We start from the raw sequence: 20,271 nt of genomic DNA, 5'->3' as shown, positions 1-20,271 counted from the left end.
TACTTCCATTATGGCACCCTGAACAATGCGTCCTCACATGGCAGAAGGTGGCTGGCAAAAGGCTTAATTAGCTAGTACCCTTGAGGCCTTTTATATTGGTACTAATTCCATTTATCGTCTCCTAAAGACCTTACCTCTCAAAACTATCACATTGAGCCCTAGGTTTCAACATACAAATGTTGGGGGTTGGAGGAGGGCATATATTCAAACCATAGCAGTTGTCCCCATTAATCTTTCTTTATCTTAATCTGATCATTTGTTAAATATGAATCATACCCCCTTAGCAGATAAAAATAGTTTAGCACAGTACTTGTACATAGTGAGTTTTTCAGTACAGTTATATAAGAACTGGGTAAACAACAGGACTTGTACATAAGTGGTTCCTCCTACTCAACATGTAATCATATTTGGAGTAGTGTCTTAGTCTGTTTTGTGTTGCTATAACAGAATATCACAGACTGGATGATTTTTAAAGAAAATAAATTTATTTCTGAAAGTTCTGGAGGCTGGGAAGTCCAAGGCATGACACTGGCATCTGGCATGAGTTTTTATGATGCCTTATCCCATAGTAGAGGGATGGAAGGGCATAAAAGCATGTGAGATGATACAGAGAGAGGATGAGGGGCAAACTCCATCCTTTTATCCAGAACCCACTCCAATGATAAATAACCCACTCCAGAGATAACAGCCTTAATCCATTTATGAGAGCAAAGCCCTCATGCCGTAAAAACCTGTTAAAGGTCCCACCTCTTAATACCATTACAAAGGCAATTACATTTCAACATAAGTTTTGGAGGGAACATTTAAACCATAGCAAGTAGGCCATGTTGTTTAGTGGTGAGGCATCCAGACCTACGTTAGTTTTCTTGTAGGCAATTTGCTTGGGCCCTCCTTCTGACAACATTCCCTCTCAGTGAGAGCCTAGGGAATATTTTGAGGCCATTAGCTTCTTTTCATTCTATTTATTGTCCCAAGCTGGTTCCCTAGCCATCTCTTGTGTTCACTTCTCAAACCAGCTAAGAGAATTTCCTAAAGAAGTCTGTGCTACCTTAGGCTCCAGTTATTTATTGGTGACCTCTTCACTCTTTAAAACAGATTGAAGAAAATGCTTAACACCCAAAGGGGAATTTTTAAAAGAGAACTACAAACTTTCCCCCTTTCCCCAGTGTCAAAAATAATCCACTTATTAACACCCACAATTAAATCAGGTGCTGAAACTTTGGTTTCATAACTACCCAGGATAATTTGTTATTGGAGAAAATAGCATATTACAGTGGTAGAGAATATAGAATATGTCACATTTGTTCTTCTGTATCAAGAGCCAACATTTTTAGCCTTGATTCATTTTTACAAAACAAAGTTTGCATGTTAGTGGTTGAAAATTATGTCATTTTTGGAACTAATTGTCATGTATACACTGTAGCAAACTTGAAGTTTAGAATTTTAAAAATCATAGTGGCTCAATTATATTTGTACTTTTTTCTGAATGAATTTGATTTTTTGATTATTTTTTAATAGGGACATTAATTCATCTTTTCACTGATTCATTCAATAAACTTTTATAGATGGCCTGCTTTATTTCAGGCACCAGGACATATTTGAAAGTCATCTGTTTATTAAACAAATGTAAGCTAATCTGTAAGCTGAGAGTTAAATTTGTTCTTTAAATATTTTTTAAATGTCTCCCTTCACTTCTGAGTAGATTAATAATAGAACAAAGCATATAATTTTTAAATGGCCTGGTACTTTGTATTAGCATTTCTGTTAGTCATAGATGTTTTCTTAGTGGAATGTCAACAAATGATACTTGAATATTTTAAAATTTATAATTCATAAAATCTCATGTATCAATTGTAATATTTATGCAAAAAGCAATAAGTTAAGAGTGTAATATAAAAATGATATATCTAGGAGCTATTTTATTCTTCTTGTCATTCCTTTGATGTAATCTATTTCCATGTTGACTAATGTGAAAAGAATGTTTCTGAAGTTTTTTTTACACTCCAAATCTTTATCTTTTGTTATTTTTTGAATTAATCAGGTTTAGATTCTTTGTTTTCCCATATCCATGTATTATTTAATTCAACACATTTTTAGTGAATACCCTGCACATAATAATTTGATGTGCTACTTCATATGAAAATGCTGTTTTCAATGAAGCATTCTTTTGAAAATTATTTTCTCAGGAGATATTATTAGGACTTGTGCTAGCTAAATAAATAAGCAAATGAGGAAGTGGAGAAATGGAATAATAAACTTTATTGAGTGCTACATGCACAAAAATAAATAGGGATATATTGTACAAAGTGTTTGATGACAACACACATTCACTCTGAGGAGTTGTATCTCAACTGTTTTTAAAGCTGGGATTGTGTCCCCTGTGATAGCTGAGGAAGAATGTTTTAGACAGGAAGATCATCAAATTCCTCAGTTCTGTGTAAGAAAGAGACAGATATGTTTGAGGGATGGAAAGGAGGCCAGTGTCGCTGAAGCAAAGGGCTCAAGTAGGACAGTATAGACCTTGTTAAGAAGTTTAAATTTTGGCTAAATAAGCTGGGAAAACTTTAGGTTTTTTTAACAAAATTTTAAAGTATTTTATTTTATTTTATTTTATTTTATTTTATTTTATTTTATTTTAAGACAGAGTCTCCCTCTGTCGCCCAGGCTGGAGTGCAGTCGCGCAATCTCAGCTCACTGCAATCTCCGCCTCCCAGGTTCAAGGGATTCTCCTGGCTCAGCCTCCTGAGTAGCTGGGATTACAGGCGCCCACCATCACGCCCGGCTAATTTTTATATTTTTAGTAGAGACAGGTTTCACCAGTTGGCCAGGGTGGTCATGAACTCCTGACCTCAAGTGATCTGGCCACCTTGGCCTCCCAAAGTGCCGAGATTACAGGCGTGAGCTGCCGCGCTGGGCCAAACATTAGTTTTGTTAGAAAGCTGAAGGGTTACACAATCTAATTTAAGTTTGAAAGATGTACCTGGCTGCTTTGTGGATAATAGATTGTAGATGAACAAGAGTAAGCGTGAGGGAGCCAATTATTTGGTGTTTACAGTTATACGAGAGAAAAGAACATATACCTAGAGAAGGATATACCAAATGCTCAAATACCAGAGATCATATAGCTAGATCAACTGATGTCATGGACACATGGTGGTAATATGGCATTGAAATAGTGTCAAGTAGCAGGGCAAACACCCAACCCCTTGATATCATGTTTTTTTCAGTTAATGATTATTCGTCTTGTGACATGTTGGTCTTGTAATTTCCACATGTAAGTTTAATATTATTCAGATCTTATTGTGCACTAAATACTATGTACCTTTATTTCTCCCAGAACTAATATTGACTACTATCTGAGTTGATAATACAATAAAATATGCCATGGAATAAATAAGTTACAGCATTAATATAATGTAAAATATTTTCAAAGTGATATATATATATATATTTAGCAAATGTATTTTAAAACATCATTTTAAAAAGACTGAAATACTATTTTTCACTCTATTACTAGGATCACTTATGCTATAAGTACCCGAGAATTTGTTTTTTAATTGAAATAATTATGTCATTAAAATTGAGCTGAAAGTTTGCAAGAATAACTGCTTTCTTAATTTGTGTTTGCAAATTAACTAAATTTGGTAAAATAATGGACATTAAAATTATAATAATAAAACAAATTTAATACATGCTCATGACAGCATTACAAATTTTTTTTTAAGTTCAGCTGTGTGTCTGCTTATATTAAATTGCAGATGGGCTATCAGTGTAGGCGAAATTGCTGTGCTCATAATTAGTCTTTAACCTTCAATCTTTTATGTTTCTTGTATACTTTAAAAATACAGACCAAAAAAACATTTTTATTACATCCTACAAATTAATTTAAAAAATAATTTCTGAATTAACATCACGTGAATACAAATATATCATTGATTTTAGATACATTTCCAACAAGAAAATATTTTCTTAGGTAAATTTTACAGTGCTTTAACCTCTTCTTAGTAGAGATATTATGAATTTTTGTAAATATTGTTCAAAATGGTGACCTACATTGAAACACATATTTTGAATAATAATTCAGTAAAATGTAATGTTCACTTTCTGGTTATTTGTTAGTGTTCATTAGTTCTTAACCACATTGAAGTAAATTCATTTTCTTTTTATATTTTATTCCCTATTTAGACTTTAAAGGCATAGTGCTTTTATTTTGCAGATTGTTGCCTTGCGTGAACAAAATGTTCATATACAAAGAAAAATGGCATCAAGCGAGGGATCCACAGAGTCAGAACATCTTGAAGGGATGGAACCTGGACAGAAAGTCCATGAGAAGGTATGACACACCCCACATGCTCTTACATGGAAATGTTTACTTCTTATATCATTTGACAGGAAATATAAAAACCACATAATGAACATTTTTTTAGTATTTGTTGATTCTTTGGTCAAAGGTTCAAGGTTTATGGTTATTTCCTTTCTAATATTTGTTCTTATTTTGATTCTCTTAAATATAATACATATGTGTATATGTTGTGTGTATGCATATACACATATTCAAATTTTTTACCTGCTCTTAATTGATTTTCTTAAAAGTATTTAAATTATATAGAATTGAATTTATAATATGTATAAAGAATATAATTTAAAGTACATATATACACATTGTGTGTATATATGGCATATGTATATATATGTACATATATAGGCAGGACTATTTTAAGTGCAAAACAACACTTTTGAATTGTAAGTGATATAATATACAATTGGTAACTTATTTGTTGTTTATGACTGCGAAAATTGTTGGTAATCTTTTATTTGATTAGTATTTTTCTTGCATTGTTTGAGGCCTCAGCAGTACTCTTGTTAATGAGAGATAACATAAAATGAAATGTGAAGTCATGGGACTTTTACATTTTTTATAATGGAATGATTCTCCTTTTGGGTGAAGTTTAGTCCCACACAAAGGAAACTAGCGCTCTGTTGCTCCACTAGCAAAAGACAAAAGGTGTCTGTGCTGGACCACCTCTTTCCAACAGAAGAGGAAGAAGGTAAGTTATTGGTAGGTCTAGAATCAGATGAAAATTACATGGAGGCATTCACACATCCTGTGTTGGAAACTCAGGAGAATCATTTGCCTGTAACAAGTTATATCTTTGGATTCTTAAGCTCCTAAATGAAGACCACATGAATCAGCTAGCTAAATTGCTGTAATTGAAAATGTCAAGAGTTTCTAAAACCTAGCGATTAAGAAGCAAGTGACTGGACAATACAATAAATAGCACTAGAATTCTTACTATAAATTAAGTTTAGCATTTCCTCACTTATGTGGTTAGAAAAAATAGAGGGACTTCTTATGTTTCTTCCTTCAAGTAGAAAAGCAAAATAAAGTAAGTAAATCAGATGAATTTCCGGAAAGAAGCTTCAATTCTGGTGGCTGACAAATGAACAGATCTTCACATAAGACCACGAATTTAGCCTTTATCCATGTATTTTATAGAAATCTTAAGCTAAATATAAAACATAAACTACAATTTGACGTATTTCATTAGCTTTATCTGAGATTAGAATAACATTATTTATCTTTCCTTCAACTAAATAAACTGATACTGCTTCAGTAGATACACCACCAAGCTCTTTAATAAGGCATTTTCACTCAGCACTCAGTTTAGGAAACCAACATGTAATTTGATATTGCTCTTTCATTTTAATTATGTCATTAGTAGTATACCTCTCCTCAGAGAATTATAGAATCACAATTGGCTGGTTATAAAAAATGGATTTTATGGTCATCTAGTCTTTTTCATAAAAGGCTACAAATTATTGTTTTCTATAATAATGCTGTATTTATGCTAATCTACTCCAGAAATGAAGAAATATACCTTTCTCAGACATGAACAACTTCAGATTTTTTTTATCCCCTAACAGGTTATTTCATACTTGAAGTGTTCTTCTTATGGAGGAGGAGGGCAGGGAATGCTCATACATATATATTTTTTTCAAATATTTTTTCATCAAGGTACTGTTAGCAGCAGCAAATCCATACAGGTCTGCAGCAACCTCAATTCTTGTTTTCTCAGAAGAAAGAAATTGACTGTGGGGCATGAGGCAAAGGGAGAGACCAAGGCAAGTTTCAGGGCAGGAAAGTTTTAGAGCAGGAACAAGAGGAGATAAAGTACAGCTGGAAAAGGGCCAAATGGGCAACTTGAGAGATTCAAGTGTGCAATTTGACCTCTGAATTGGGGTTTTATACACTGGCATGCTTCTGGAGTTGTGGTACTTCTGCCCTGATTCTTCCTTTGGGGTGGGCTGTCTGCATGCACGGTGGCCTGTCAGCACTTGGGAGGGGCCGCATGCACAGCATGTTTACTGAAGTCCTATACATGCTTACTGGAGGCATTTTTCCCTTACCAGTTGAGTGTTCCTAGAGGAATGTTCTATTCCTATACCAGTTAAATGCTGCCATTTTGCTTCTCAGTGCACATGCTTGAGTCCACTTGCCCAACTCCTGAGATCTTATCTGGAAACTGCTGATCACCAGATTCAATGTTTTCTATTTATTACAGTCTGTCTTCCCTGGCACTGGCAGCAACCAATAATTGTTTTACAGAGAGAGTTTAACAACCACCTGACCATCACCTATTGGTTGCCTAACTACCTACTCTAACAATATAACCACTAAATATTTGAATATGCAGACATTAGAGAATGTAAGACAGTTTATGACAGATTATTTTTCGGGAACTGGTTACAGAATTAGGATGAGGATTTATGCATAATTGATATTTGTCTCTATTGGTCTTCACAGATATAAGTGCACATATGGAGGATTTTGAGACATTGGTGACCCAAAGCAATTGTCTTTAACTTTTTTTGACTTCCAGTTCTTAGTGAAGGCATTTCAGCCAGTGGAGAAAAGAAATTGTGTGCCAATGCTAAGTCATTCACTTCTTGTGTTGGTGTAACTAAAGGTTTTTAAACATTATGATTACTGGTATTCATTTGCTTTTTTCAGCTTCCTTGAATTTCTAAAACAGTGATTTCTAAATGCTTTAGAATAATTATATATTATTATCATGCATAATATCATGCCCATATCCTTTGGTGTAAACCTAAAATGTGTATAATGTATCATATATATTTAGTCTAAATTTAAAAATATGTAAACATGTTTCAATTTATATTAATCCTGTGATTGATTTCTCAGGATGTTCCAATAAAGTGTTGTAATAAGAAGTTTTATTTATGCCACATTTTTAAATTTATTTTTATTTACATATTTTTGAGACAGTCCAGGCTGTAGTGCAGTGGCATGAACTTGGCTCACTGCAACCTCCTTCTCCTGGGCTCAAGCAATCCTCCCATCTCAATGTTCCAAGTAGCTAACATTACTGGCGTGAGCCACCCTGCCTGGCTAATTTTGGTAATTTTTGTAGAGACAGAGTTTCATCATGTTGACCAGGCTGGTCTTGAACTCCTGAGCTCAAGCAATCTGCCCACCTCGGCCTCCCAAAGTGCTGGAATTACAGGTGTGAGCCACCGTGCTCAGCTATACCACATTTTTTTACCTGACATTTCTTGATAAAACATAAAACAGTATCCTGATTATTATTTTCATTGTCCTTATATAAATACTCCCAAGTTACACACATATAATATTATAGAGCATTTTTCTTATCAAAATCATCCTCCATGACATGATTATTCAAGGTATATTAATGCCATAAAACAAGTTGTCAAAGGATTGTAATTTAAAGCCTAATACTTATTTTTTTTTTATTGAGAACTTTTAAAAAGGTATATTCAAACAAAAGAAAAGAAATTATTATTTTGGCAGATTATCAACGATGACTGTAGTGTTAGTGTGTAAATTGAAAAGTGGTTGATCAGGACAAAAATGTAAAACTATTATTAGATACTGATAGAACTAAGAAAGTGACTTCTAAATCCTAGTTGGAAGGATTACCCTTTGTTTAGGGCAGTTAATTTGCTTAAGTTACACAGTCAGGGTGGGTGATTAGCCCAAAGAAGATGTTTTGTGTCGGTGGATTGAGAACTCTGTTGACAAAATAGTTGACAAAAATAGCCTCACAAAAGCACAATCTGAAATAGGCCTTATTATTCATGGAAAACTCTGGTAATTATTATCAGCCTTTTTAAAAGAAAAAATAAAAAGAAAAAATACACTTAACTGAAACGAATTTAAATATTTCTGTGTGGTCTTAAATTTAACTGATTGAGAAGAATATAAATATTCAAGGATAATACAAATTTTCATAACACTAAATTCCACCTTTTCAGAACCAGGCTCTAATAACTTTTTCCTATTTCTTTCTAGATGGAAGTTAATTGGTGAATTTTAAAAAGTAAACATGCTACTCTTGTAAAGTTTATAATAATGCTCATTACTTGTATAATCTGTACTTCTAATTATTTTTTCAGCTGCAAGTATTTGCTAACTGATGTGAATCAGTAGAATATTAGATATGTTAGAGATTCAGAAGATATAGTCTGTAATAAATTTGATAAGAATCTACAGTGAGAAATAAACATGCCCAAATTAATATCATAAAACATGATAAATATTGTGGTATCAAAAATAATATTAGAGTTTAAAAACAAGGTTAATTAATCCTCATTGAGGGGTGTCAGAGAGGCAATGTGGAATAGCGATTTGTTTGAAGTTCCTGTCTCTGCCAGCTACCAGCTGTATGAACCTTACCCTTAACACCGCTGACTCTGAGTTTCAGATAAAATAGTCTTGCCAACTTACAGAGTTATAAGAATAGAAACACTATATTCAATGAATTACATCATCTTAGGCATATTGTATAGAAGCAATAAATGCTTATTCTATTTATTAATCCTGTGTTTTCAATCAAATAAATATTTAGTGGCAACCTTATTAAAGGTGCTAAGAAATGGGCCCTATTCTAGGTGGTAGGAATATAATGATGATAAGACAGTTGAGGGTACAGGCAATAAACAAATATACACAGTGTAAAAGGGCATAGATATGATCAAGGGACCCGTACAAGGTGAGTGGTGAAGACATTAAAGAAGGGATCTTTTTAAGATGGTGGGATTTGAACTGATGCCTGAAAAAGTACCAGGAGTCAACAATATGAAAAACTTTCACAAAACAGTAGTCACACTTAACTATATGCAGTGAATTTTTATACGTGTCATGTATTAGTGACTGAGACACTAGTTCTTCATAGATCGAAGAGTGGAGTTGACTGATCCTTCAATGACCATACAACAAATGAGGCACATCCTCGGCATGTCACATGAGGTTCTTCCCAAGCTGGCTGGCCTCTTCTCGCCTCCCAGGCCTGTTTGCTTATCATTCCCACTTTGAGCTTAATTACTAAGTGAACTAAGTTAAAGCTTCCTTTTTTAAGTTGTTGCTCTTATTCTTCTCTCCTCTTTGAATCTGACATTTATTCGTGACTGTTCTCTAAAAATGCAACATAACAATTTAAGCAACAGTAATATGGAAATGTGAAAGCTGAATAAATGTAAAATCAGAAATAGATTTTTGTTTGCATGTTTTCAGTTCTTTAGTTCTTGTCAGATAGAAGAATTATGGACAAAAAAGTACATAAAGCAAAATGAAGAATCAGTGGCAAGAATAATCCTCAGATCGGTAAATTTAATAAATAATTGTCTAGTATTTTTATTATAGAACTACTGTTCATGAAGAATATTGAGCCAAAGTGATAAAAATGGAATACGGGATGTGCCTTTATCAAAATTAAGGGTTTTGTGGACTTTTAGCAATACAATGCTGTTTTAGAATGAACAACCAATGACAAAAATAGGTACTTAGAACAAGCCAACATAGCTCTACAAGCAATGTGATCCTCAGTGGAGACAAAGTATTTCATTCCATCATGCTATTGTGAAATATTGAGATATCATAGTGTGAAGATTTGCACACTCTCATGCAAACCTGTCAGCTGTCCAGTTAAAAGTTTGGCTTATCAATATCTCATCCTATTTTAAAATACTAATAAACATCATTTATCACAAATGCCATTCTTTTAATCATTCTCACTAAGTTCTGACTAAAAGTCATCATCCACAGGCATGTCTTCAATATATTGACTATATTTTGTTCATTTTTTTGTGTTCATCAATACATGTTAACTACGGCCAACAACCATTCTTTCAAAGATTCAGTCTTGTCAACTGTAGCTCATTTTATGCATTATTGATTCCCTCTCTCAAAAATATAATTGGGCTTATTTACAAATGGATTGCACTCACAGAATATTTTCTTCTGTGTATTGATTCCATATATTGTATTCTAATTCCTTACAAAACATAACGACTTGAATGTTTCTCCTTTATTCTTCAATTGAATTGTCAAGCAGTGAAACACCAAACTGAATGGAGTTTATGAATTTGCCAACTTGGAAAGAGCAGGTCTAAAGATATACATGGGCTGGACTGGCCCAGAGGTTCAATGATTGGCTAGAAAAGGGACCAAAAGAGTAAGGTTAGGATCTTCCATGGCTTATCCATATATACATGAAGTTGTATCAATTTTCTAGAAGCTGAGTTGGCGAGGAAGCACATAACGAAAGGTCTGGAATCTTCTATATGCAATGGCAAAAATAAAAGTCTTCTAATGCTGTGTGGAAACTCATTAGGTTCAAAACAAATCGCTCTGGGTGCAGTGACTGGGTTATTGTGTGTTAACTAAGACCTTGTTAGATGGAAAGATGAAGTGAAATCCACTCTGCTGTCTTCAGTAAGAAGTATCATTTGTATTAGCCAGGATTTGAGGTACTCAGAATTTTTTTTTTTTTTTTTTTTTTTTTTTTGTGAAGAAGGATATTTCCAAAGACTTTAAAAGACTGACTGACTGGAAATTTGTTCAGTTACCTTTATCTTATTAACATAATTGGAGGGTTCATTTTGTGCCAAGGAATCTGTTGTCTTTTGGTGATGTACACAAGAATAAGTTCTTTTTCCTCTGTTTTGTTTTGTGCGATCTGTTAAGCAAGGCTAGGAGAATTTTTAAGTTTTTCATTCAGAAGTTCCTCAGTTGATCTAATTGTATTTTTTCACTTTGGTAGAATTTATCTATTTCATCATTTCTCATGAAACACAAGCTCCCCAGAAATTTAGTGGGTGTTTGATAGGACCCACTCACCCAACAAATGAAATTCCCAGGAGAAGCAGATTAGGAAATATTGTTGTGTACAATTTTTAACTGGTGTAAGTACTACAGTATTTATATTTTAACTCTTAGTATTGTCGAGCGTCAAGAAAGAAACACAGTATGTAGTGTTTCCAGAGACGCTCTTTACCCACAGGGAAATAAGAGTATCCCAGAATGAGAATTCAACAGGACATGCCTTAATATGGAATTAAGGAATGCTGGTGCTTAACCTTTAAAGTTAGCCAAATTGTTTTTCAAACTTGTCTGGAAACCTCATTAACAAAGCGGCTACGGGTCTTTAAGAATGAGATAAGTAACCAGCATAAAGTCCTTTATGTGAGTTGTTTTATTTGATCTCTGTAACAACAACCCTGTGAGGTTTGCAGAGCAAGGATCAATGGCTCAAAGTAATGTAGCTCATGAACAGGGGGATTGGAGATAAACAGGTAACAAGTAAGTAAAGAATAAATGTGAACTATGGAGGGAAAAGGCAGCATAAAAACTACCTGATTTTATAGATTTCAAAATATAAGATTATTTACTTTAAGCAAAGTCTTAAACCTGTCCATGTTTCTAAGAGGATGGAAGAGTTTATTAGACTGAGCATGAGGCTTACAAAAATTTCAAAAAAGCCTAGTCAAAGAAAACTTTGTTACACCATGTGTAATGTCTTCAGCAAACATTTAATCAAGTATATTTCCCCAGCAAATTTTACTGCTCTTTCCTTTGCCATCATTTTCTTTTCTTTGTCTACTCCAATGGTCCCCAAAGTTTTTGGCAACAGGAACCAGTTTTGTGGAAGACAATTTTTCCACCAACTGGGGGTGTGGTTGGGGATGGTTTCAGGATGATTCAAGCACATTACATTTATTTTGCACTTTATTTAAATTATTACATTGAAATATATAATGAAATAATTATACAACTCACCATAATGTAGAATCAGTGGGAGCTCTGAGCTTGTTTTCCTGCAACTAGATGGTCCTGTCTGACAGTGACAGATAGTCAGGCATTAGATTCTCATAAGGAGTGCACAACCTAGATCCCTCGAATGGACAGTTCACAATAGGGTTCACACTACTTTGTGAATCTAATGCTGCCGCTGATCTTACAGAAAGTAGAGCTCAGACGGTAATGCAAGTGATAGGGAGTGGTTGTAAATACAGATCAAGCTTTGCTCACACCTTTACCTCCTACTGAGAAGTCTGGTCCCAAACAGGCCACAGACCAGTACATGTCCATGGCTTGGAACGTGGGCACCCCTGGTCGACTGTATTCTTATAATATACAAAGTTTCCCTAACTTAAAAAAAATTATCTTTTGGCCCCACATTTTAAAATCCCTTATAAACCTATTTCAATAAGGTTTTGCCCCACCATAGCACAGAAGCCACTCCTGCTACAGTCATCACTAAATTTATAGTGCTAAATATAAGGCCAATTCTCAGGCCTTGCTATAGTTGATGTCTCAGCAGTATATGACATAGTTAATAGTTTTCTTCCTTCATATACTTCTTCACTTGCATTACAGGAAACTACATTGTTTTCCTCTTACTTACCAGTGGCTACATCTCCATCTATTTTCCTCCCTCTGACTTCTGAATGTTGGAGCATCTGCTCTCTGAAGAACAGATGATAAGTCTGTCTTGGCATGACAACTCCCAGTTTCTTCTCTTCTTCTCTTTCTTTCTTCACCCCAGGGCTCAGCCCTCCACATGTTCTCTACCTACACTCTCTCCATGATTCCAATCAATCTCATCCTATTCATATACTAATAATTTATGAATCTTTACCTCTAGTTCAGACCCTACAACCAAATGCATATATCCAGCCACAATCGAACATCTCCACTTGTATATCTAAAAGACTTTGCACATTTAAAATATCAAAAGCTTACGTATTTGATATCCCCCCTTAAAAAATTTGATCCATCATCTCCAGTTTACATGATGAAAACTTTGCCTTTCCAGTTGCTCAAGCTAAAGAATTTGGAATTACTCTCACATCCTCCCTATGTCTCACACCTCCCATCCAACTATAAAGAAATTTGATTTACTCTACCTTCAAAATATATCCAGAATCCTACCACTTCCATTGATCACTCTGTTTTGAACCACTGTCATCTCTCAGCTGAATTATTGTAATCAATCACTTTTTATGAGGTCTCTCTGCTTCTCCCATGGGCCATCTCCAGTCTATTTTTAAAACAGCATGAATCAGAGTAATCTGTTCATTTTCATTTTTAAAAAAATGTCTATGGATATATTCTAATTATGCATATTTATATGGTGCATGTGATATTTTGATACAAGAGTGATGTTTTAAACCATATATCTGAACACATCAATCGTCTGCTCAAAACTCTGCAACTTCTTTCCACTTACACAAGGCTCTACATAAATCTCACTGTCTTTATCTTCTGACTTCACATCCAAATCCACCCCAGCCACACTGGCCTCCTGTTGACTTTTGATTTCCTCTTTCCTTTGTCTGAATTGCCTTTCCTCCAGATACATGGCTAACTTCCCCACTTCCATCCAGTCTTTGTTCAAATGTCATAACATATTCTAACATAGTAATGTATTATAGCACAGCATGTGTTTATATGCTTTACTTATTTATAATGTCTGTAATGTATTGTCTGCCAGCCCAGTTAGATAATAACCTCCATAAAAGTTAGGATCCTTGTTTTATTCCTGATGAAGCTCAGGTACCTAGAATAGTTCCTAGAACATGATGAACACTTAATAAATACGTGTTCAAGAATAAGAAATAAATATCACACTGTTTTAATGATTAACTTTATAAATCTTGATTCTTAGAGCTTAATTATAATATCAACTTTTCAAATTCCATTTTTCAACTCTGTTGAGATTGTAGGGGCCAAGGAGAAAATTTTCTTCCACCCTCTAAAGGTTTGCTGAAAATGAATTGAGGGAAGGCAGATTAATGTGAAAAAAGGCACACAAAACTTATTTTAACACGCATATGGATATAACTGCCATTTACAATGTATTAGACTGGAAGAGGGGCCAGAGGGCTGATGCTTAAATATTCTCGACATAGGAGATATGTATGGATTCAGGAGGCAGACATTTTGCAAATGATTCTTTTTGGAAGCTGGGTGGGACTGACAAATTAAAGGAAAGTAAGGGGAAAGACTGTGCAGGAATAAATATTGCTTTATTATTGCAGATTAAGTCCCCTGGGTAATCTCTGGGAGCTGTCCTCTGAAGAACAGATTATAAATCTGTCTTGGCATGACGACTCCCAATTTCTGCTCTTCTCTAGTGGTTAATCTGACAGGATTCCTGAAGAGGGGAATCTTGAGACAATTACATTCCTTGTGGAAAGAAGTGTTTTCAGTCAGATAAGGAAATTCCAGAGAGAGAGAGAGAGAAAGGGAGGAGAGGAAGGTCAGAGACAGATCTTGGTTCTAAGGATTATTTCTGAGGCCTTTCAATTTTCAAAGCGCTCAACAAGCCAAAGTCATATTTGGGGGAATCGTTTTCTGTGCCCCAACAAGATTTTTACTGCAATTGCTTAAATTAATAAATTAACTTCGGGAAGTTATTGCCTCTATTGTATACTGTTTTACCATGTGTACATATGGCTTATGTCTCCATTCATTTGTGTATTATTTTATGTTCTTCAATAAAATTGTTTAATTTTTCCCATAGAGATCTTATATATGATTAGATTTATTTCTAGGCATTTATAGTTACTGTGATTGTTATCTCCTTTATATGTTTTTCCTAATAAATTAATACTGGCATATAAAGATGCTATTGATTTTCCAATATTGATATGGATTACAGCAAACTTGCAAAACTATTAGTTCTAAGAGTTTGCTATACTCTTGGTATTTTCTAAGTAATTACACAGATTGGGAGGATTTACTTTTCTCTTCTCTTCCTTTTCAGTTTTCATTTATTGTTATTGTCCAAGACATATAAAGCTTGTAAAAGTATAGACTTTAATAATAATGCTATTCATTAATGTGATGCTTATCATAGTAACTGGTAGATAGCTTTTATCAGGTTTGGAATTTCATTTACAAGTTTGCTAAGAAGTATTTTCAGAATACAATATACTCATCTTTCAAAAGTAGTGGATTTCATGGACAGTTTTTTTTTTTTTTTAACTTCTGGGACACATGCAGAATATGCAGGTTTGTTACATAGATATACATGTGCCATGGTGGTTTGCTGCACCTATCAACCTGTCTCTAGGTTTTAAGCCCCACATGCATTAGGTATTTGTCCTAATGCTCTCCCTCCCCTTGCCCCCAACACCCTGACAGGCCCCAGTGTGTGATGTTCCCCTCCCTGTGTCCATGTGTTCTCGTTGTTCAACTTCCACTTATAACTGAGAACATGCGGTGTTTGGTTTTTTGTTCCTGTGTTAGTTTGCTGAGAATGATGGCACATATTCTTTTGGAACTGTTTTTCTTTTCCTAGGGATAAACAACTTGATTTTTTTTTTGTATGCATGATTCTCTGACAGAAGTGAAATTTTTAAAAATAGAAAATAAATTAAACTCTGTTGTACTTGATTAGTGTTCATTATTTCTATGCCTACCATTAATCCTTTACATACATAATTTTTGTGACCTGGATACAGGCAAGTTGAGCTCTTTTTTGACTATCTAAAATATATAAGAGCCCAAGTAATCCAAGTAACAGTAAGTCTGGTACCAGCCTCTTGGGGCCAATGTTGTTCTGCCTAAGTTATCTAAAAACTTTCAAAACTTGATCAGACCAAAAAGGAATTTTTTTGTTTGATTGTTTGTTTTTGTTTTTTGTTTGTTTACAATTCATGAAAAGATAACTGGAAAATGTGATAAAGTAACAAGTGAGTAAATTTTTAAAAAACTGCTATTGCATATTTTTAGCCCTCAAAGTATCACTTTTGAAACAAGTGTTCCCTCAAAATCCAACACCATCCATGCACCACTGCAATAACCCACTGTCATACAGGCCAAATTAAACCATCTTATGCCAATAAATGGCCTAGTTTTTCCAAACTAGTTCCACCAGCAGTAGTGACAACCTCTACCAAAGTGATTCTTCAGGAAGAATTTTCCATTCTCCAAGTTTTACCAGTTGAAGTTTAGGTTCATACTCATGTTCCCAAATTCATCAAGATGACTGAGCCAGGAAGGTCTTTCAGATTCCATGCCAGAACCACCACTGGGTGTTGGACCATAGTTCAAATTCATACTCTTACTTCCCTCATGGTAAGTTCTCTTTGTGGACTCTTGGTACTCCTTGTGATCTAGTCAATTGTCAGTCTACCAGAGAATTAAGAAAAACATTGAACTTCACAATTGAAAGGGGAGCAATCTGTTTTTTCCTCTCCTTCCTGAAGTTTCCTGGTTTATGTCAAATATCTTCCTCCTCCACTCTCTTAATATCAAGACACAGTAGAGGAGACACTTTTTGTCAGGGTTCTATTAAATATTCTTCCTTGGGATGTGGGAGCCTACTTGACTTATATTTACACATCTAAAAGGACTACTTGGTAATTCATCCAGGAAGAAAGATCCACTCTAGTGTTGATTCTTTATTTTATAGATGAACAACAATAGCAACAAAACATTTGAAAGCTTTCAATTTGATGACTTTCTCTAAAGAAAAAAATAAACTCAATATACACAAAATAAACTCAATATACACACTTCTCATCTCTTCAAACTATACAGAGTAAGAATTTCACAGATGAATGTTTTTCTCTATCAATCATTAACATGTTTATTTCATGCTGTAATGTGGGACCTAGCTATTTTTTATATTTCTGATAATTATTAACATTTATCATGGGAATATTCACTTAACTGCAATGTAACAGGATCACCATGAATCAGTCTGACTGCTATAAGAATGAAAATAAGAAACAAGGTTAGAAAAAAAGAACCAGTTACAAGATTGTTACAGTAATTCAAAGGAGAGTAGATGACCCAGACAAGGGTGACAATGGTGGAGGTCATGACAGTGGGTCACATTCACATATTTTGTGAAAAGAAAGCCAACAAGTTTTTCTCATAGATTGTATAAAAGATGGGAGAAAAAGAGAGAACTCAAGGATGACTCCACCGTTTTTGGAGAAAGTGAAAAAGTGAAGTTCTCACTAATTGAGTTGGGGATGAATTAAAGCAAAACATATTTGGGGGAGAAGCACGTTCTGAACACAGATTTTAAACATATTGAGTTTGGAAAGTCTGTTTGACAGCCAAGTGTGAAAATTGTATTGCAGTTGAATGTACAATAATATATAAGTTAAGATTTAAACTTTTAATAGAGATAAAAATTTTAGGAATATATATTTTGGTAGGTGAGAAAGACAACAAACATATTTTGTAAATATATAATATGGCAGGGGTGAAAGGCCTTTCTGATAAAGTAACAATTGAAGAGAGTTCTACAAAGACGTTATTAGTCATCTTTGACGACCCCCTACTTCACTCCACAGGTGATCTCATCCAATGTTATAGCTGCTTGCAGAAAACATCCATATATTCACTATTCTTTACTGTGGGCTTATACAATAGCTTGCCTGACACCTTTATTTTGACATCTAATTAGTCATTTCAAACATTGTTTTCAAAACCCAGTCCAGGATTTTGCCCCATCCTAACCACAAATCTGCTTCTCCTACAGATTTTCTCTTCTCAAAAAATAGCAACTCCATCTTTCTAATCGAAGACTACAAATCTTGCAGTCATCCTTGAGTCTATGCTTTTTGTCCCATATCATATTCAATCCATTCAAAGAATATGACCCCTTTTATAACCTTTAGTCCTATTACCCTGGTCTAAGCCAACGTAATTTTTCACCTCTTAATTCATTTTCTTAAATTCCTTTTTTTGTCCTGTCTTTTATAAGAGGACTGAGGAATCCATCGAAAATGTAAGTGAAATCATGTCACTCCTCTGCTCAACACCTTCCTATAGTTTTCATATCACCTTGAGCAAAAGCCAGTCTTAAAATGATCTCAAGAACACACATCATATTTCCATCTATATCCACTCCCACCCTCTTGCTTTATTTAGTCCAGTCCATTCTAGCTACAATGGTCTCCTTGAAAATCCTAAACCCACTTGTGTCACTTTGTCTTTGATCTTTCTGTTTCCTCTGCCAGAAAACTGCATGATTTATGCTTGTATTGCAGGGTTTAGCTCAATGCTTTCTTTTCATTATCAATTCCCCTAGTATAAGCTTGACCCAAATACTGCATGTGACATCATTACACTCAAGTTTTTCATTGTTTATTGAAAATTCAAATCTAACTGTACATCCTATATTTCATCTGGCAACCCTAGCTGTGAGGATATTGAACAAACAAGCAAAAATTATCCATTACAGATAGGAATGGCTTTATCTGAATTACCGGGTTTGTGATGACAGAGTAACAGTTTACTTGCACAGTTTTACATGTTACTTCCCTGTTCAAACAACTTTGATGGCTCCTTGTCATTCTATCTGGTACCCAAAGTTTATTCTATTCAGTATGGAAAAACAAAGGCCATCGTAATCTATGCTGGCCTTCCCTGTCAAGTCTCATATTTTACCATTTCCTTATAGCACATGTTTTCTGCTCTGCATACAGGACGACTTACAATTATTCTTCAGGGATATCCCCCTCCCTTTGCTCATGTTATTTTCTGCTCCTAGAATAAGTACTCCCCTCCTTTCCTTTACTTGAAATATAATAACTCATCTTTGAAGACCCAACTCAAAGGATATCACAAAGATATTCTCTGCTTTCTGCTCCCACACATAAATATGAAGCAAAATAAAACTTTATGATAATACTTTATTGCAATGCATATCCTTGCCTATTTGTGTATTACTTCTTTGCTTGATAGAATTGCCTTGATGTCAGAAAAGTATTATCACCTTTTAAAACATTCTAAAACTTATTATCTTCCACTTGACACCAAAGTAGGTGATTAATAAATATTGATGAATGAGTAAATATAAATATATATTTTAAAATTTAACATATGAGACACCATTGTATTTGATCATTAATAATTTCAAATATATACTTGTACTGCTTTAAAAAATTGAAAATCTTTATGACCTTCTGTTGGGGATTGATTTTTTAGAAATGACACCGTGAGCCCAAGCCACAAAGAAAAAAAAATGATAAACTGGAACTTCTTAAAATTAAAAACATTTGAAATTCAAAGAATACTATCATGAAAGAAAGTGAAAAGATGGTCTACAGAATAGAGAAAAGCTATTTTCAAGCCATATGTTTCATAAAATACTTGAATCAAAATATATGTAAAAAATTCATGTAAATCAACAATAAAAATACATGTAAATCAATTAATATGAAGGCAAATAATTTAAATAGACATTTCTCCAAATAAGATATACAAATGAACAATAAGTACATGAAAAGATGTCCAACTTCATCAGTTATTAGGAAATGCAAATCCAAACCATAAGGAAATATCACTTTGCACCCACTAGAATAGCTGAAATAAAAAGATAGACAATAATAAGTTTTGGTGAAGATGTGGAAAATTAGAACTCTCATACATTGCTGGTAGGAATGTACAATGGTGCAACCACTTTGGAAAACATTTCCTCAACATGTTAAAGATAGAATTGTCATATGGTCCATCAATTCTACTCTAGGAATCGATCCAAGAGAACTGAAAACATTTGTCCGTATAAAGACTTATACACAAAAGTTCACGGCAGTTATTTATAGTAGCCAAAAGGTGGACACAACGTTAATGTCCCTCAACTGATGAATATATAAATAACATGTAATATATCCCCATGATGGAATACTATTCATCAATGTAGAAATGAGGTGTGGATAACATGCTACGGTACTTGAACGAAATTCAAAAACATCATGCTCAGTGCATAAAACTAGTCACGAAAGAACACATGTTCAGCAACTCCACTTCTGTGAAAAGTCCAGAACTGCGAATCTGTATGACAGAAAGTAGTTAGTGGTTGTCTGGGGCTGGGGGTGTGTCAGTGATTGCTAATAATTATAAGATTTCCACTAAGGGTGAAAAAATGTGAGATTAACTAATGTTGATAGTTGCGCAACTCTGTAAGTATACTAAACTCC

The 20,271-nt window shown here is 34.3% G+C and overlaps 1 protein-coding gene across 48 annotated transcripts in view; it reads left to right on the top strand.

Moving 5' to 3' along the window:
* PPFIA2 (PPFI scaffold protein A2) overlaps window positions 1–20,271 on the top strand; it is a 501,376-nt gene that overhangs the window by 349,231 nt on the left and 131,874 nt on the right. For all 48 annotated transcript variants that reach the window (XM_024449242.2, XM_017020107.3, XM_024449240.2 and 45 more), the window contains one exon: window positions 4,217–4,333. In XM_024449242.2, coding sequence (XP_024305010.1) covers window positions 4,217–4,333 — 117 coding nt within the window. The remainder of the gene's footprint in view (window positions 1–4,216; window positions 4,334–20,271) is intronic.

Source organism: Homo sapiens, chromosome 12, assembly GCF_000001405.40.
Source record: "Homo sapiens chromosome 12, GRCh38.p14 Primary Assembly".
Lineage (NCBI taxonomy): Eukaryota > Metazoa > Chordata > Mammalia > Primates > Hominidae > Homo > Homo sapiens.
This window is presented reverse-complemented; position numbering and strand designations above follow the sequence as displayed.